General features: G+C 40.0%; 1 protein-coding gene across 2 annotated transcripts in view; it reads left to right on the top strand.

The window, feature by feature from the left end:
• Nucleotides 1–19,896, top strand: part of FBXL17 (F-box and leucine rich repeat protein 17) — a 523,064-nt gene that overhangs the window by 499,697 nt on the left and 3,471 nt on the right. The window contains exon 8 of one of the 2 annotated variants that reach the window (NM_001163315.3): nucleotides 1,223–1,365. In NM_001163315.3, coding sequence (NP_001156787.2) covers nucleotides 1,223–1,365 — 143 coding nt within the window. Of the gene's footprint in view, nucleotides 1–1,222; nucleotides 19,761–19,896 lie in introns of those variants that run through there. The other variant, XM_005272048.5, reaches the window with a different exon arrangement.

Below are 19,896 nucleotides of genomic sequence, written 5' to 3'. Positions count from 1 at the left end.
TCCTACTGGAATGTACGGACATGAGTTTTCTAGTAAAAAAAAAAAATACTGAGGTAATTAGCAAAGAAAGATTTTGCCAAATATTCTCTTCTGTGAGCTGTAGGAGTAAACATTTGTTAACATGAGTACTTAACTCTAAATTATCCATCTAGTCAACACATTTTGGGAACTATCATTCACCTTTATTGTCACAGAAATCAACTTATGCTATCTTAGAATGAGGAAATTATCAGAAAACCATTTCTCTTTTCTTTTTGATATTTGTGGCACTGTTTTCAGGGTTTTGATTCACAAACCAGTGCACCATAAACTGGTGCTGGGGTATTGAAATTTGTTTTCTGGGCTCCTTAAATATAAAGGTGGGCACATTTATCAAAGTCGGTAGAAAAGAGCCACATTCACCACTTGGTCGCTGTGATGGGGTGATGGGTTATGGGACTTTGCAGTGATTAGTAGTGCACATCATAGATTATGGGATAAGTGTCTGCACTTTAGTGGTGGTACAATGCTAAACAGCCGAGAAGACTACAGATACTCTCATAGTTTACAGACGACAGGCTTCATTTTGTATGTTAATAGAAGGAAGACTTCTGATAGGATGAGGAAATTCACCATAACAAATGCATTCTGTTTACTGCACTCTAGCATGGCACCAATTAAAATCAGCAGTATGTATGATGTACTCTTAATTCCTAACAGTCCCAAGAAGCGCTAATGTGAAAAATATTTTATACTTTTACATTTTACAGGTCATGAACAGATGGAAAAAATTATGCCAATTGGTAAAGACATTCACTTGCAGTATAACACTCCTCAAAATGGTGTTTACGTGGGTTCTTCTTTAAAAAAAAATTAAAGTTATCTTGGGTAAAATTAAGTTAGTACTTGGGTTTTTTTAAATGTTGTATCTGTAATACATTTTAATTTATTCCTTCTGCAGAGCTGAATGTTTGAAAGTACAGGTAACCTTGTAATGAATAAAACTGATAAAAGGTTGTGTTCAATGAAAGGGAAATTATGGAATGATTATTCACTTTGCAAATGGGTTTGTCATAGGGAAGCTTTCCTAAAGCATTTCAAATTTAGTTTAGTTTATAAAACGTTCATTTACACACAAAATTTCAGGAACAAATTTAGTGAGGAAATGAGATGAATAGTCATAATAAGATAGAGCTCCCTTACACTGCTAACATTAATGCTTTCTCTGCGTCCCTTCTTGCAGCACTGATAGCCATTGGGCGATACAGCATGACAATAGAGACTGTGGATGTCGGATGGTGTAAAGAAATCACAGACCAAGGAGCCACCCTGATTGCACAGAGCAGCAAGTCTCTGAGATATTTGGGGCTGATGAGATGTGATAAAGTAAGAGTTGACTATCAAGTTGTTTGCTTTCTACATATCAGTATAGTTAATAGCTTGATGTCATATCCTCTCTCCTTCTCTATCTCCACCCCCGTGTATTATATATTATATATACATTTTATATGTATATATGCAATTATAGCTATGCATTGTTTGCCTGCTTTTGTAAACTAATCTGAGATTATCTTTGTATTTCCCCACTTAATAATGAATTTTGTGCTTAAGTAGAAAGAAAAAGTAATCATATACATAGTCAACTAGAGTTTGGCATCCTATTCATAAGTCCATGGACCAAAATGTAAAAGATTACATGACAAACTGCAATTTGCAGGGTCTAACCGTAAAATTGTATTCTGGGTTTCAAGTTTCCAGCAACAGTAAAGGTGGAAAGAACAGTGCCAAATTGGTTTTTCACAAGTGTGTAATTTTGGTACTGAACATCTATGTATTCTGGCCATTCGGGACCAACAAAGGGCCAGTAAGGGGGTATGTGGGAATTTGCATCTCCCCATACATCAGATGCCACTCCCAGCACATGATAAGAAGTGGTTCCAGAGGTCCTGGTGGAAGGCCTGTAGAACCAGCCAGGGATGTGAGCATGAGTTTAGGAAATGGTGTAGCATTTAACGTGGGACCCTTTGAAGACTGAGAAAACAGATAATAAAAATCTATACTGACACCTGTAATCCCAGCACATTGGGAGGCCAAGGCAGAAGGATCACTTGAGCCCAGGAATTTGAGACCAGCCTGGACAACATGGGAAAACCCTGTCTCTATCCCCCTCTCCCCCAACAAAAAAAAATTAGCCAGGCATAATGGCACACACCTGTAGTCCCAGCTACTCGGGAAGCTAAGGTGGGAGGATCACCTGAGCTCAAGAGGCCGAGGTTGCAGTGAGCCGTGATTGTGCCGCAACCACCTCAGCCTGGATGACGGAGCACGACTGTGTCCCAAACAAACAAAAAAAACCTATACTGGACACCAGGCACTCCACAGGTGTTTTCTTCTTTGTTTATTCCATGTTTTACCTATAACAAGTCTAAGAAATAGTTATTTGCATTGTGAAGGGGAGAAAATGGAGGCTCAGAAAGACCAGTCAGTGGCCCCAGGATACTCTGGCAAGACTTCATGCCGGGTCTTTGGAGTCTGTATCCAGTGCTGCTGGCACAACCCAGGGGGCAGTCTGTGGCCACGGGGACTGCTTCCCTTGGAAAAGGTCCAGTTCAGATACTTGCTCAGAAAGTGCCGCCATCTTGTACTAATTTACACATGTGTGCTACTTTTGTAAATGGTGATTAGGAACAAATCTAGCAAAATAATGTGAAACTAAATAGACACGCCATTCAAAGGGCATGCATCTTCTAAATGTAGCAAATGTGGGGGCAAATGAAGTATGGCCCAAAGCTCTTGTGTCCTTTGTGATTTTTTGTTAATTGGCTAATTCTTTTCTCCAAACACTTTAGAATCCCAACTTATACGAGACCTTTGCCAGCTAGTTATGTTTAGAGAAATGTTATTATATATTCTCAGCCCAGCCCAGAAGCGACTTACTTTGTAACTAAGCAACAGCACTGAGATCCGGGGCTTGCGAGTCTCCCACAAATCTTTCCACTAACCAACCTAATGCCGCTGCTAACCCTGCCACTTTAAAATGACTTCTTTTAAGACAAGTTAAAGGGTCCACCATAGGCATAGTCCTCTAGAAACAGGAATCAATGACAGCAGAACTCCTCAGCTTCCAGCAGAAGGAACTGCCACATGAATGCTAACTAAAGCTACCAAAATGTACACATTCATACATATGTGTCCGCAGCCATTCTCAGAAATTGTCATATTTCTAACCTGTAATCTTTAGATGGTTAAGATCAGCTCCATCTTCGGAGATACACTGTAGAAGTTGTATGTTACAGTTACTACAGGAGAATGTTATTCCAGACATATTTGCTGACCAGCATTTTGCTGATTTTTAGTTAAGAAATGGGTTATTTTCTACCCAAATGCAAATTAGTCCAAAATTAAATAGAGACAGTATTCAGATTAGCTGTATCCCTGAGGGTTTTAGCCCTTTTCCTGGGCTGCCTCTGAATCCTTTCTCTAACCAGAGAGCCACTCTGAGAACCCATTGGCTCCAGCACGACGCCGTCTGGTCAGAGCCTGCTGCAGTGCAGCCCAGGGAGATGCTGGACCCAGCCTTGCTGTCTGGCTTCCTCAGACTTAAAGCAGCTCAGAGCCAAACACGAGAGGCTCTGTGAGGATGGAAGACAGTTCCAAACCACACACAAAGCACAAGTAAAGCCTTGCACAGAAAAGCCTGCTTGTTGGTTTAGTTGGATGGAAATCTAAAGTAGCTATTCAGTTTTCAGATTTTGTATCATGCCATCCATCTCCAGATTTTAAGTTACCATCAAGATTCAAAGGAAGATATGAGTAACAAAGAAAAGAAATTAGTAGCAACGGTATGGTCTGCGGAGAGCCAGAGTTCAGGTTCAGATCTGGGCTTTGCACTTACTAGTTGTGTCACCGCGGGCAGTTACTAACCTCTCAGTGCCTGTTCCCTCGTTTGCAAAATGAGGATGATACTAGTACCTATCTTGTAGAATTGTGAGCATGTGAATGAGTTAACATACATAAAGCACTTAGAATAATGTCTATTATATATAAAATGCTCTGTTACTGATTAGTCTTATCATCCATATCATTATATTAACCTGTGTTGTGATACTGGAATTTTCCAATGAGAAAAAAAAATTATATTGCCTACTATCCCATTTTGAAAGACAATTAAAAAGAAAGGAAAAAAATAAATTCAGACTAGAGAATGCTTTGCCTTTGTGCTTTTTCCTCACCTAAATTTAAAATTAAGATTATTTTTTATACAAATATGTCAGTAATTACACTTTCTACACACTTTGCAATGGAAAAACTAATGCCTCCGTAGGACACTTAGTATTTGGTATGAATTTATTAACCATCTTACTCCAGCACAGGGATGCAGAAAGATTTGCAGTGGGAGAAAAGGGTGAGTTGAAGATAAGACTGTTCAAGTACTTAGGGTAACAGAAAGTAACAAAATAATAGTGAAAAATAAGAATAGAGACAGGAAACAGAAAAACTATGATTAGGGAACGGAGAAGAAGATACACCATCTCCTGGCAGTCTGTGATCATCTGTGCCAGCAAAGCATTAAAGAACAAAATTAATTTGGCCCTGTCACTTTTCTCCCTACCTTAACCAAATCTGCTAACCACCAAGAAAACCCATTAGAGTTCTCCTCTTGTTTCTGCACACCAGTGGAGCCAGTGGAGGAGGCAGGGAACCTCAGCATCTACTCAACAAACCCCTTGGTCAGGAATGGTGTCAGTAGGATCCCTGCACTAGAGAGAGATGTGGTTTGTGAAGTCTGTGTGTCCTTGCGCTGGCATTCCGTGATCCTGTGGTTCTGAGAAAGAACATTCTAGTTGCATGTTCTTTCACAGTCAGTTTTATTGAGGGCCACTTATATTTAATTTGGAGGCTATACTTTACCAAACTGATGCTTTTTTCCTCATTTCACCTTTTGAGGAATTGTAAGAATAACAAAATGCATTGTATTTGTTGTAGGAAAACAGTGTTTCCCCCCACGACCCCCACCCGCCGTCTCTCTTGGTTAGGTTAGCAGAGAACAAATGGGAAAAGTTAAACGTATTCGTTGCAGATGAAAGCAACATGTACTTGGATTGTCAAACAAGGGCTAAGCTAAACTGCAGTAAATATGTTTGGCTGCAACATTGGTGATTCCTGGGGAGGAGTCCTCCAGTCGTGCAACAATGCAGCATTCCCCAGGCAGTTGTAAAGTCAGGAAGTGCATTAAGAAGCCCCTGTTTGAGTAGCTTTTCTGATTCCTGGATGGATAAGCATGTTGGAGGGTTTTGGAGCTGACGCCACTTAATCTCCTAAACTTTAGTGCATTGTAAGAACCAAGAGAAGAAAACGCTGTGTGAGACGGCTTTGATGAATTGGGGTGAGCTTATATTCTTAAAGACTGTTCAAAGGCTTACTTGACCTTGGGAATTAGAGTTGACCCGAAATCACCTATCAACTTAACTCACATTTATCTGGTGATTTACTTAAAAATACTTGTGTAATCAACGGGACACTCTAATAAGAGCAGTATGTTCCCTCTGTTTTCCGCAATTATAAACAGCGGCTTTGGTCGTAGAAATTATTTTTGTGACTTCAGTGAATTCTAGATTCTCTATAGATCTGTTTCTTATAATTGTATTATATTTTCTTTTTCTTATAAGGCAGTTTGGATGGAGAACAAAACTAAAAAGGACCAAAAAAAATCATGATAAAGCTGTAGGGCAAATGGAAATGCAGTGTTCAAGGTTAATGAAAAATGTTTGGGGTGACAAGGTTGATGAGAAGGGAGGAGGCACTGTGGCCTGGCACTGGCGGAAAAAACAGCCCTCACTGGAGGCAGGCTGGCTGTTTGCGAGGCCTCGGTGATAAAAGTGTCGTGGTGGAAACCTCTGCAGTGTGTGTTAATACAGAAGTTTGGAGATGCAGGCCTGAATTATGAGCAGTGAATAACATCATAAACGTAGCAATTCTCAAATGCCAAACCCTTGTGAAAAGCAGTTGGATGGAGAAATGCTGGAGCTTTTAAAAGCTCCCTTTCACTTTCTATTTTTTTTTAACTTCATGCAGAACTAATTTTATACACTGTTCATTTGATTTGAAAATGCCAGCGTCTGGGGTATCATTAAAGAGCGTTATTGAGGGAGCCACTCTTGGCAAAGCATTTTGCTTAAAATGCTTGGTTCTTATGTCCCTGCATAGTTATAGATGGGAAAGAGAAAGTGTGCCTCGGTTTACCTAACCCCACGCCTCTGCCATGGCCCGGAGCAGATGGCTACCCTTCTCCTGGGAGGTTTTTTCTTCTTGGCCAGTAGAGGCGCCTGGAGGGCTGTGAGGGCCACGTTACTTAAGGAACAGACATAAATAGATTGTGAAAGGTCCACCCTAATGTCCTATGACCAAAGCCTCTTGGAATTTCTTTGATTTCTAGTTGACATAAATTAGAATTACACAGGCGTGAAGAGCCCGCCCAGAAAAGATGAGAGAGGCTGCTGGGGAGGAGAGCCGCCTCTGTGTGAGCCTATTGATTATCCAGCTGCCTTCAGGCCAGGGACCTCTGTGGAGGCCGACTGCTATTGATCCACACCATGAAAATAATCGAATTAATTCATTTCTCATCAAACTGACATTGCCAAGACCTTTCTCCTTACCTGCCCCAATTCCTGAAGTTCTTAGTTGAGGAGTGAAATAGTGATTTCTTTTAGTAAATGTTGCTGTATTCTACAGGACATAAGAAATCGTGGTTTTCACATGGAGTTCCACATTTTTAAATGGGAGAGAGATTTTTTAAAATCAAATCCATAAGAAGCCAATACAGAAAGCAAGTAATAGAAACCAATCAGCTCTTTCGAGCCAGGAGTCTGCTTTACCACCTGAAAATACCTAGGGCCAAGTTTTGGGTGCCCAATTTAATGTAAAAATATTCAGGAAAAATTGACCACTGCATATTTCAGGAAGTAATTATGGTAAGAGAAAGCCTCAACAACCTAAATATTTCTGTGGAGAAAATGGAGTTTTTATCAGCTTGTTTAGGAATCATGAGCAGGAAAGCCCTATGGGGAAAATAATATAGGACTCTGTAACTAATGTACAGAACTAACTGGAAAAATCAGTTTCAGAGAAAAATAATTTGAGGGCACTGTGTCCAGGACTGTTTTGGTAGCAATTCAGCCATGAAACAAAGCATATACCTGCAGGGACTCTCCTCTTCCCTGCCTTGTCTGCACAGCTGTTTCCAGGTTGCCCATAGCCAAAATGTAAGATTTAAAATTGATGCCATATCAAAGAAAATAAAGTAAAAAAAAAAAAAGAGAGAGAGAGAGAAAGAAAGAAAAGAAAACATTCTATCCAAATAAGGCAGGAGTGTCAGACTGTGCAGTCCTCTGTTGTGGGTGACATAACCCTTACTCAGACAGCCCACATGACATGTGCCCCAAAAGAAAGGGGCAATGAGAAATGGTGAGAGTGCAGCTGGGGCTCTAAAATCTGAACTTAAGTCCTTCACTTGAAGCATCAGCATCTTGTTCCTTTTGCTGATGAAACAGTTTCTCCAGGTGATTTTCACATAGGAGCACTTTAAAACACATTTTACAACCCTCTCCTGATTATTCCTGGTAATTGAAACAGGGAAAAACACATCAGCTGAAATTCAGAGGTTACCTTTCAACCTCATTTTAGTTAAGTGTTCCCATCTCCTCCTCTTCCAACCCTGTTCACCTGAACTTCTAAGAAGTGGTAACTAAAAGTCCTTTCCGGTATTTAAATATGAAACCAAGAAACACTGATGTGGAACTTTATAAAAGAGGTGAAATGGTTGAGCACTAGTGTCAAGTTGCTAGGTTTTCAAATTCTACCTCCATCATTTTACTGTCTCTGGGACCTTGGGCAGCTTAATCTCTAAAAGCCTCAAATTCACCAACTGAAAAATGGGGATGATAATGACATTTATCTCATAGGGTTGTTACAAAATTAAATGAAATATTGTGATAAAGCCCTTAGCCCGAAGTCAGGCACACTATAAGCACTCAATAAGTGTTAACTACTATTAGCATTATCATTATATTTATTCACATATACATACCTGCTCTGGAATCTTGTATCTGGTATATTAATCACCTGTCCAACAGGTTCATAATATTCTAGCCATGAATATAAATTCACAAGCTCAGATCTTCATAGAAAAACTAGCCTCCTGAGACTAAGGCAGCAATTCTTGAAAATGTTAGAATTTTTTTTTTTTAATCATTAGGACTCACTAAATTACAGCCAGACTTGCAGAGAAAGAAGAAACCTGGAACCGGTAGAAGTCAGTCCTTTCTTTTGAGCAGAGAGTGAAGACCTGCCAAGTCAAACAGCCAGTCAATGTCCAGGCTGAGATTTGTTTGGTTTGTTTTTTCAGGAAAATCAACATCTGTGTAGAACCTTTTAAGGGAACGTGCTGCAAGTAGCTGCTTATGTTTTGCTGGCCTCTGTTATGGGATTGATGGATAGTGAAATTGTTTGCTTTTAAAAGGGAGAAGGAGAGAGCCTACTGTTCCCCAAATACTGTAGGGTGAATAGATTGCTGTGTTGAAGTTTGCCTGAAGGCACCCTGGAGCGTCATTGCTTTGCAGTAAATAATCTCCTTGGAGCTTTGATTTGGTTTCAGTAATTATATGAGAGAATTAGATTGTAGGATCATATTATTTTTTGAATTTAAAAATAGAATAGGTAGCAGCAATTCCTCAACAGAGCTCAGATGAGATCCCAGAACTCTTAATCACCTGACTTCACCAAGTAGCAACAAGACCAGCCTGCAGTGACCAGGTGACTGAGGGACTACTGCAGGTGGAGAAGGAATGGCTCAGCCCACATGCCAGGCCTGGCCATCCAGCAGCAGCAGGTCTTCAGGGCCTACCATGCTGTGCCTAGAGAAAATCCTGTTCCTGTTTGCAAGGAATTTTTCAGAGAAAAACTAAGCCTCTCCTGCCTCCAATTTTTATCATATATTTTATTAATAGTTTATTTTTTCAAGAAATATCTATTGAGTGGCTTACTATATTCCAGTCACTGTGATAGGTGATAGGTCAGAAAAAACAGTGAACAAGATATACTCCCTACCCCATGGGGCCTGCAGCCTCTTGGGAGAGGACAAGCAAATGGGCAGCTACAGTACTGTAAAATTGCTGATTATTTATTTTTAAATGACAGCCAAGGTTATGCTTCTTCTGAACAAAGAGCCTCACTTTGATCCTACATCAGCTTTCAGCTGTGGTCCTCTAAGCCTCTCTTCTTGCCATTCTATTTAATTTCTGAAAAGGATTGTCCAGGAACAGTTTTCCTTACTTTCTTGCCACCTGTTATGATCTATTTCCATCCCCACCATGCCACTGATGCTGCTCTTTTCAAGGTCAGCAGTGGCCTCTGTGTCACCAAATGTTGTGGCCATTTTTCTCTTCTCACTTCCCCCATCTCTTGGCAGCAGCATCCATATGGTAACCACTCCGTCCTGCCAGAGAATGTTTGTCTCTTGTCTTCCATTTCACCAGACTGCCAGCTTTGCTGCTATCTCTGCATTCGCCATCGTCTCCCTGTGCCGCCATTCCCTCATCTGTAAAATGAAAATAATAGCATCTGTCTCACATTGAGAGAGTTGAGTGAATTAATCTGTGTAGTGTTCCTCCTATGAAGCAAGCAATAAACGTTAGCTCTTGTTGTGGTGGTGAATTTTTACCCTTCCTACCTTCGTCTCTTTCCTTCTCCTTACTAGAATATAAGATCTGTGGGTTTCTCCTTCTATGTTATATTACCAGGACCTACCACAGTGGCTGGTACATACTAGTTGCTAGACAAATATGTATTGCATGCTGGATGAATGGATAGATTGGATTGTGTTTCTCATCTGCATTCTCTTCAACCAGAGCAGCCCCATTCTTACTGCTTTATGTATTTGAAATCTACAGTTTTGGTTTGTGAAAGTATTATACAGCTAAAAGTAAATTTGAAAACCGTCAGATCCCACTGCCTCTTAATAATTTAATGGATTGTAAAAAGTACCTAGACAGAGGAAAATAAATAAGTAAGAAAGCTTCCCCCCTTGGATTTCATATGAATTCTATATAGCTGGGGGGTTGTGACGGCAGCTGCAAGCCCCTGGGGATCAGGACATTCAGATGAGCTCAGCATCTGCTGCATGGTTGAACTTGGCATCTTTCAGAGCCCAGCCCTGCAATGCCCTGATTTATGTACAGTTCATCTTCTGAAAACCAAGAATATCACCTATTTTCAGGTTTTTGAATCTACGGATTTACCGATCACATTAATGCAGAATAAATTTTTGCTGATCATAAATTTGTCTTAGGAAACGGGTCAAATTCCTAAATTCTGCATAATGGAAATGGCAATTTTAGAAAGATTTTTTTTCATCAAGTGTGCACTTGCTGATTACCACTACCTTATCCTTTATGTAAGAAAGTAATAACTGAAACCAAGAAAGCCATTATGCACAAAAGAAAACAGACTTTTAGTTCAGAGAGCTTTCCCCCTCAATTATGTTTTTCAGCTTAACTTCATGAGTTTAATTTAGAAATACCCAGATGTGTTCCATAAATACATTGCACTTACCACTTACTTAGTGACTATATTAATTATCTTATTAGGGCCTAGTTGTTGTTGTTTTTTTTTTTTTTCAAATTGCTGATCATTTGCCGAACCATTGGTAGCACTGCAGATGACTCCCCCAAGCAACTTTCTCCATCCTGGTGTCCCACATATGTATGTTCTGGTTCTCATCTGCACCACACGTGCATATGCATAGATTTGAGCATGGCCAAGTCCATGGCCAGTGGTTTGTGGCCTTAGAGCGGCCAACACATGGTTGTGTACCTGGAGCTTGCATGCACTTGGCTGGAAACATCTTTCTCAGTGGAGGATAGCTTGGTGATACAGGGAATGAAAATGTCACTAATTTTTCTCTCTGACAGTCTGGTTGTTGGACTTCCTGTCACACTAATCTTTAATTAGAGGCTTCAGGTTAGCAAGCCCCAATTCTCACTTAACACTGCAGGCGTTTCTGTGATCCCCATCCTCCCAAGTTCTTTGCTGCTTTCTCACTGTGCTAATTCAAGTGAATAGAAGCAGTGCTAGTGTTAACAGGCAACACACATTTCATGAAAAAGAGACAGCATGAAGCCAGGCCTGTTGTGATATTGACAGAGCATAGCACTTCCAATCATTACAGATTCTGAAATGGAATGACTGCGTTTGACAAAGTTGACTGAATTTATGAGCCTGCCTCTGTCAGGTTCATTGCATTCTCAGTATCTGTCTTACTGTATACTTTGAGATTTTTAGATGAGGTTTTTTTTTTTTTTTTTTTTTTGCCGCCCAAGAGTAATATTTCTTACCTCTGTATGAAAAACGCATCCTTAAAGACCCCAGGCTACCGGTATGAGGTTCATGCATGAAGCGTTGTATGGATGTTCTGTGGTCAGCTTATTCCCATATTTAGCAGGTCGCTTTTAGGCTCCAGTAACATAGTCAACTTTTCTTCTTAAAATTTCTTATCTTAAAATTGTATTAACCCAGCACTTTGGGGAGGCTGAGGCGGGTAGATCACGAGGTCAGGAGATTGAGACCATCCTGGTTAATACAGTGAAACCCCATCCCTACTAAAAATACAAAAAAGTAGCTGAGCATGGTGGCACGCGCCTGTAGTCCCAGCTACTTGGGAGGCTGAGGCAGGAGAATCACTTGGACCCAGGAGGCGGAGGTTGCAGTGAGCTGAGATGGAGCTGCTGCACTCCAGCCTGGGTGACAGCAAGACTCCATCTCAAAAAAAAAAAAAAGGTATTAAATACCTAATCGTGAGTACCCTCTCCTTCCATATCATGGGTTTTCCACTGAGGAAGCACTAGGTCCATGTGAGAACTGGGGATAGAATTTTTTTTCCTTCCCCTTAGCTGTTGGGAAGATCAGATGGAAGCCACCTTTGGCTTTGCCTAATTAGAGATCTAAGACTTGATGCTGAAGAAGAGGAAGCCAGTCCATTTTTACCACTTTCAAAGAATACACATTTTGTTTCAGACAGTGGTGAATATTTGAAAAAAGAAGGGCTAATAAGCTATAGTAGCAACAGTTCCTTTTCCCCAGAACCTCTAGCTCAGAGGTGTCATGTCATGGGAAGTGGGCAGGTGCTTAGTTCAGACCTTGCCTTCAGATCCCCAAGAACAGAAATCACCTGTGCCTTCTAGGAGCTTTTCAGTCGGTGGCTTTAAACCAGTAGTTCTCACCTGATCTATGTTTTGGACTCTCCTGGTAGCTTTACAAATATTGATGCCTGGCTCCCTCTCCACCAAGACTCCGATATAACTGCTCTAGGATATGGCCTGGGCATTGGGATTTTTAAAAGATCTTCAGGTAATTCTAATGAGCAGTTGGGTTGACAACCACTTTATTCTTGTTTGTATCTTGCTTGCCATTGTAGACACAGTTTAATTCATCCCATGTCAGTAAACATTTATCATAAGTTTGCTATGTATGAGTCACTGTAGGGTTTATGGCAGAAGGCCTTGGTTTGTCTGAGAAAGGAAGAGGGAAGGAAGGGAATGTGAAGCTGATCACACGAGAGAACAAAGGATCCAAGTGCTAAGGTAGGAAGTTTAGCCTCTCCACTGAAGAGAAAGAGGTGAGAGATTGAAAAGCGGCACTGGATTCCTAGTTCCCTGCTCTCACCACAGCAAACCTCAGCAGAATGTGGCATGTCACCCAAACAGGGACATGCGAAGTCCTGCTGCAAAGGGAGAGAGATAGAATTATAAAAATCTACACAGGCCAGCAGAGAGCAGGCACATGTTGTCAGCTGTGCAGGATCCTGGAAAAATCAATATATCATCTGCTCTTTTTTTCTTTTCTTAGTGTCCTATTTAAAATATTTTAAACTGCACTTAGATGACTCACCTCATTTACATGCAAATTTGGGGTGTTACTAAAATTCACATTACCCTGATTTCATCCTTTTTAATATGTGCCCATCTTAGAGTCTGTGGGTACCAGCTGAAAGCACATTAAGGTCCGTTTGAATATGCATTGTTCACGATGACTTTTGCTGGCACCTGGTGAATACCAGGTTCCATGGATATCTGCTACAGTTTCCCAGAGAGCCAAGAAACGCGGAGAGAAGCAGGCTCCAGAGGCGTATTGTCCCAGAGACAACACTCTGCCTCTGGGCCACCAGGAGTCAGCCTCTGGGGCTGTTAGCAGTCATTGACATTGCCCAGGGAGTCTGTGAAGAGTGACAGACCAGTGTGAAGTCCCAAGCCCTGAATTAGGAGGCAGGCGCTGAGTGTGCTATTTGTGATGCCTTCACAGATATACTGTGGGCACTTTACTTTTCCCACCTGCAAATAAAGGGGTCCATCTTCTTCACCCCTCTCTTTCTCAAAGCAGAGCTATTTCACACAAGAACTTACTGCAGGTATACACTTGAGTTTGTTGGATGGGGTGGGAGAAACATTGCATAGCTTACAAATGATGAGTTGTTTTATTCTAGCTCATGAGCTGGTTTCCTTTCTTCTCTGAAAAATATGTGCATATTTTGTGCATGTGGTACACAGGCTGACACCTCTTTGTCCTTCAGAAGTCCACTGAAATATCACTTCATTTGGAAAGCCCTTTCCAGCCCTCAAGGAACAGGTCAGGTGCCTACTGCAGGCTTCCTTCTGCAGCAACCTGCACTTCCCTAGAAAGCACTTCTTGGGCTTCGCTGTTGGTGGTGTCATTGTTCCTCCCCTGCTAGGTTATAAGCTACAAGAGGGCAGGGACCATATCTGGCTTGCAGGCCATCCTACCTCCGTAACAAGGGAAAGTGTTTTTATGGGTGAGAGACGGGAAAGGAAGCAGTGCCCCTTTCTGGCGTAGTCACGGATGGCCTATCCAAAGGCCCGTGGTCAGGCCTGCAGCTTCATCGCATTTCCATCATGCTTCAAAGTCTCATGCAACCCACAGCTCCACAACAGACTGTTCTGCAGGCCAAGTGAGATCCATTATAATTTACATTTAGAGCACCCATTTTGAAAACATTATCAAGGACTTTGAAATGTATTTATATGCAAACTGCAATCTCTTTTATGTTCAGTAAAAAAACGAATGTCAGTAAACATTTTACAGGGCAGGAGATCAGCCAGGCCCCAGTCTGACACTTTCCACACCACACCATCTTACCTAAGGGGCCAGGCAATGTGGTACAGTGCAAAGAGCACTGTGTGCTGGGGTCCTGAATTCAAATTCTAGCTACCATTTGCTAGCTGTGTGAAATAGGAATTCCATCTGAGTAGGGGTATTCATGCTTAGATGTCTGGGAAATAATAGATGTTCACTGAATATTATTCCTTTCCTGTCTTCCCCGTCCTTACCTGAACAGAGACATACTTTTATTTTGCCTTGGTTATTTGAGTAAAATATTAACAAATTGTTTTCAAGTATTTTGCCAAAATAAACCATGCTGAAGAGAAGCGTTTGATTGTCTCTTAACACACGAAAGCCTAATACTACGTGTTTAGCAGTGGGAGCATGGAGCAGTTTTGGTGGCAGAATTTCTCCTTATCTGAGATTGCCATTTATTGCATGCTCCTGAGGCACCAGATACTAAACACTACCATGACAGCAGAACCAACCAAAAAAAGATAGACCTTCACATTCCCACTTGCCACCACATAGGGGTGAAGGCATACCAACTCCCAAAGCCCAAGAAATCAGAAGATAGGAATGGCATTGCTTTGAGTCAGGAGACCTGTCCACAATTTATTCTTTGCCATCAGATAACTATGACATTAAAAGGGAGCTTAAATGTCACAAAATTTCCAAATGGTCTGCCCTCCTGGGCCTGCCATCCTGAGCAGGCTGCTGATGCTGTAAACACCAGAGTCAAATCCTCTGAACTGTGTGGGGTTTTGCCAAGTTTTGGAAACCGACTCACGTCCAGGATCATTAGCATGCCTTTTAGTCTACACACTTGGTTTAAGAATGATCTCCAGTATGGAGGGTTGCCATCAGGTTATCCAAAGTGTAGCTTAGTTATTTTCCAAGTACTCCCTGACAGCCACATGACCCAGCAAAACTTGTTAAACTACCATCATGAGCTGCTTTGGTCTCCTGTGCAAAATTATTAGAAACTCTAGGGAAGATGTATCCAGAAAGAGGTATCTGGTGATGTCAGATGGAAAAGACAATAGCCCAAAGAATCACCATGGGTATGAACTTCAGAGGATTAAAGGAGTTTGGGGCTGCCATATTATCAGGACTTTAGAGACTGCTACCACTCTAGCTGAGCAGTCTGGGAGCAAGGTGAGCTTATCTCTACAATTTCTGGTACAGTACTATTTGGTGCTTTTTTTAATGTACTCAATAAATATTCATTGAACAATCCCTATATGAATTTAGCCAGCACATATTTATTGAGTATATACTATGTGCTAGGGATTTGACAGTGAACAAAACCAGCAAGAATATCTGTCTCATAGAGCCTGTATTCTAATGGGCAAGAATATACCAGACAGTGCCTATAGGACTAACAACAAAGAGATGACTGAAATTCTCCTTGTTGTCAGGAACTTTAAGTGGTTTAGTTTTAAATGTGATTTTAATATACTCAGATGTCAAATATTTTCCCCCATCATAAATATGTCTTCTCTTAAAACCTGAGTCAAAAAGGAAGTAACCATCATTTAATGTAAATGGCTTCTTCTGCAAATTTTATCAGAAATTACTTTTATTGAACAGTAGGTATCATTGAGGAGATAAGTCAGGCCTGGGTTTACACTTATCTGGAACTTTCTGCGGAAATTAATAAAGGGACTGTAATGGCCTAGATAAATTTGTTACACCGACTCTCTGTAACTCTGAAGTTTCTCTCCTCACCCTTCCGTTAAGAGCGGCAGCCATATCATGAAACTGTGGTGTGATTTACCTTCATTAGCATAGCAATTTGCCTCACATTTTCACAAAGTGCTAATAGATGTTAACTCAAAATAGATTAAAATATCAGACAAATTGCTACCACCTTAAAAAGAGTTACAACAATTTTGAAAATGTAAATTATGGTTATGCAGCATTTGGAGAGAAGTATAAAATCCAGTCTTTCTTATATTAAAAAAAAATTTGTGGCACATGGTTTTTCCCCCTTTAATCACAGTAATTTCTTCCAATGACAGTGCGGCATATTTCTTTAAGAAGATACATTGCATTTTTTAAATCTCATGTGTCATATAGGAGTTGCCATTGATAGTTTTCAGCAAGAGGAAAAGAAATTGAATACAGAAAACCAGGGATCATGGGGAAATTAAAAAAAAAAAACTTCATCTTTAATGTTCCCTTTTTATATTACATATATTTTATGAGTTGGAACAGAGAGAGGTTCTTTTCATTCTAGCAAGTGGAGTTGTGCATGACAAAATATCTGCAGGAATGTGCATGTAGGCATAACGATGTAAAAGGATTTGGGCTCTGCTGGTGTCTTACGCTGAATCCTCTATGGCACCAAAGCACTTATGGAGTCCATACAAAGAAAAGGTGAGCATAATTTGTACTTCTGTGGAGTAAATGAACATAACTGTAGTATAATATTTGTCACACTATTGCCAGGAGAGATTATAAGTAAAATAACCCTCCCTAAGTAGGAGCCCATGAATTTCCCCTGAATAACTTCTACGCAACAGAGCTCTAAAATGAAATATTTGCATTTTCCCCACTGCTTTGTTTCCTAGAATTTACAGAGTACAGTTAGCAAAAGGATTGCTTAGAAGATACATTATATGCACAGAGGATTACTGGTGCCATTTTTCATACAGTTACACAAAGTCAAATTATTGTCTATTCTTACCCCAAACCTATGAAAGCCAGAGAACAAACACATCATCATCTGTATTCTCAACTACAGATGTATTTTACTTTGTGCCGCCAAAATAGGTAAATTGCATTTTGGGAAATCAAAGGATATATAAAATACACTTGGGGGAGCTGGCAAAATAAATTAACCCTACCATGAAATTATTTACTAAAGTGAACAATTATTTTCTAATTTGTATACTTCATAAATCCATATCTTCATGTATCCAGTTTGCTTAAGGTGAATTATGTGCCTTTTCCTGGAAAACAGTTATCACATAGAGATATTTTCTATTTTTAAATTAATTGGCCCTCCAAAACAAATTGCCTGTCAACCCTAGGTACAAAACTCTGTACAAACCTGTGTATAAATTGGAAAAGATGTACCATAGAAAAGAGTTCATATCGTTAACAGTGGTTTTGAATGTTTTCTCTGCTCCATTCTTTTCTCATTTATTTTTAGTTAGTACTTCCTTGAATGCCAAGTGGCTTGGACTACATTTACTTCTTTGCAATGTGATGCAGATTTTCCAAGGTTCCTCTCTGACGAAATGACTTCATCTCTTAGTGAAACCTGCATGCTTTTGTTTGTTTATGGCAGAAGGAAGGCAAGTCATCTAACTGCAGCATGGGGAACATCTGTTAAAAAAAAGGAAAAATTTCCTGGCAGTGATGTATTAGTCTGTTTGTATTACTATAAAGGAATAGCTGAAACTGGGTAATTCATAAAGAAAAGGGGTTTAATTGGCTCATGGTTCTGCAGGTGTACAGGAAGTGCAGTGTTGGCATCTGCTTCTGGTGAGGGCCTCAGGAAACTTCCAGTCATGGTGGAAGGCGAAGGGGAGCAAGCATGTCACATGGTGAGGCTGGGAGCAAGAGAGAGAGTTGGGGGAGGTGCCACACACACTTTTAAACAACCAGATCTCGAGAGAACTCCCCCACTATCTCGAAGACAGCACCAAGCCATGATGGGCAGACCCCCATGAACCAAACACCTCCCACCAGGCCTTACCTCCAACATTGGGGATCACATTTCAACATGAGATGGGAAGGGGACAAATATCCAAACCATGCCAAAGTAGTTACTTAAAACCTGGACTATGTTATTAAGGAGAGTTCTGGAATCTGCTCAAGAAACCATTAAGAAAAAATAGATTCTTCTTGTACATGGAGAACATTCTAAAAGTTATTCCTTGCTTGGTGATTAATTTATTTTAAACATTACAACTAATGTTAACAAGGTTTATTTTATGAGATAACTTAGAGGTGGAACAATATTGATTAATGCTATAGAGAATTGGTGGCCCTAAGAGATCATGAATTAACTCTTGCATTCAGTGACCATTTACTGAGTGTCTCCTTCAATAGTGAGAGCTACTGTATGGTGGGCTTTTTATATCAGTCACAGTGCGAGGCATATTATTATATTTAATCGCTATAACAGTCCTATGATATGTACTTTTATCCTGTCTTTACAGTTTAGAAAAACCAAGTCTTAAAGAAGTAACATGCCTTGGTTCTCTATTTTGAACAGCCCAAAGATAAAAGGCAATCTTTAATCTCCATAGGCTTTTATTCAGGTGGAAGAGATAGGCAAGTGGACAGATAATTGTAGTACAGTGTGAGAGTGCTCAAAGAGCGGACATACCTTGCAGGGTGCCTGCCATGGTGCACTGGGAAGGGGTGCCTAACTCAACCTTCTGGGTTGGGTTGCTTAGGGAGGGCTTCCCTGAAGAAGGAGATTCTTGAGCTGAATGTGAGTTCCTCAAGAAATCATTAGTCTTCTTGATTAGTATGTTAGTGTCTGGCTTTGCCTTATTCTTGGATTTCTATTTTTTATTTGTAGTTTGTATTTGTTTTAGCATTCACTCACTAATAACTATTCCTGGCTCATGATAGTTCTTATAGATCTTAGATTGGAGCAAGAGAAATAGACATTAAACTAAGCAATCATAAACTTAGTACAATAATAAGTACTATGGGGGAAAAGTAGGGAGTATTGAAAGAGTGAATGATCTGGAATACTTATGTAACTTAGTGAGGGGAGCAGAGATAAGGCAGTGATCCAAATTTGCTGGGAAAATGACATTGAAGCTAAGAACTCAAAGATGAGTAGGAAGTAGGCATGTGAAAGGGGTCATAATGGATAAGTGGGGCAAAAAGTATTCCAGGGATGTGTAAAGATCCCAAGACCAGAAGGAACTTGAACAACTTAATAAACTGAAACTAGGCCAAGTGGCTGGATAGTATCAAAAATATGCTAGAGGAATAGGCAAGGCCAGATGATACATGACTCCTAAATGTACTGTTATAAGCTGTCTGAACTCTAGACTTAGAGCACGCATTTAAATTATATTAAATTCATCAGTTCATATTTCAACTCCGATATGTGTATCAGTTTTCCTTTTTTTATTCAAAATTGTTTTAGCTTTTGAAAATAAAACGTTATAAATCATAGCTTTATCACAAAAGGAATTAGTTATGTGGCTTGGTTAAATTTGGAATAAAAGTTCACTTAAACGCAAGCAAGTCTTAAGTAGAGAAATGCTCTGGCAAAGATTTAGTATCATCAACACAATGTTGAAATATCAACTCTCAATAATGTAAAAAGAATTAACAGATAACATAGTTTTCTAGATCACTTAGAAAACATCATGCTATTTCAGAAAAGTGCAGATAGCTGAATTTCATGATCATCATACTTCTAAGCAGGCTTTCAAAGCAAACAGCAAGGGTTTGATGTTGTTTCAGGTTTTTCCTAGTGGTCCTGATCTTTTCCAATAATGGACATCAAGAAGTGTGCTCAAAAATGTGTATCACAAGTCCCTTTTTTCAGACTAGCTTACTCGGTATAAATGAAATATTGATGTATTTGAAAATGCTCAAGTGTTCAATAAAGATTTTAAATAAAGCTACCTAAAAGTTGTGGTTCTTAGGTTAATCATTTATTTATCTAAAGGATGAAGAAAACTGTCTACTTCTGTGATATGAACTGCAATCATCTTAAAAATAATTGACAAATTAATCCCTTCACAGCACAGCAATTGTAAA

The sequence above is a fragment of the Homo sapiens genome, chromosome 5, assembly GCF_000001405.40.
Source record: "Homo sapiens chromosome 5, GRCh38.p14 Primary Assembly".
NCBI classification, from domain to species: domain Eukaryota; kingdom Metazoa; phylum Chordata; class Mammalia; order Primates; family Hominidae; genus Homo; species Homo sapiens.
This window is presented reverse-complemented; position numbering and strand designations above follow the sequence as displayed.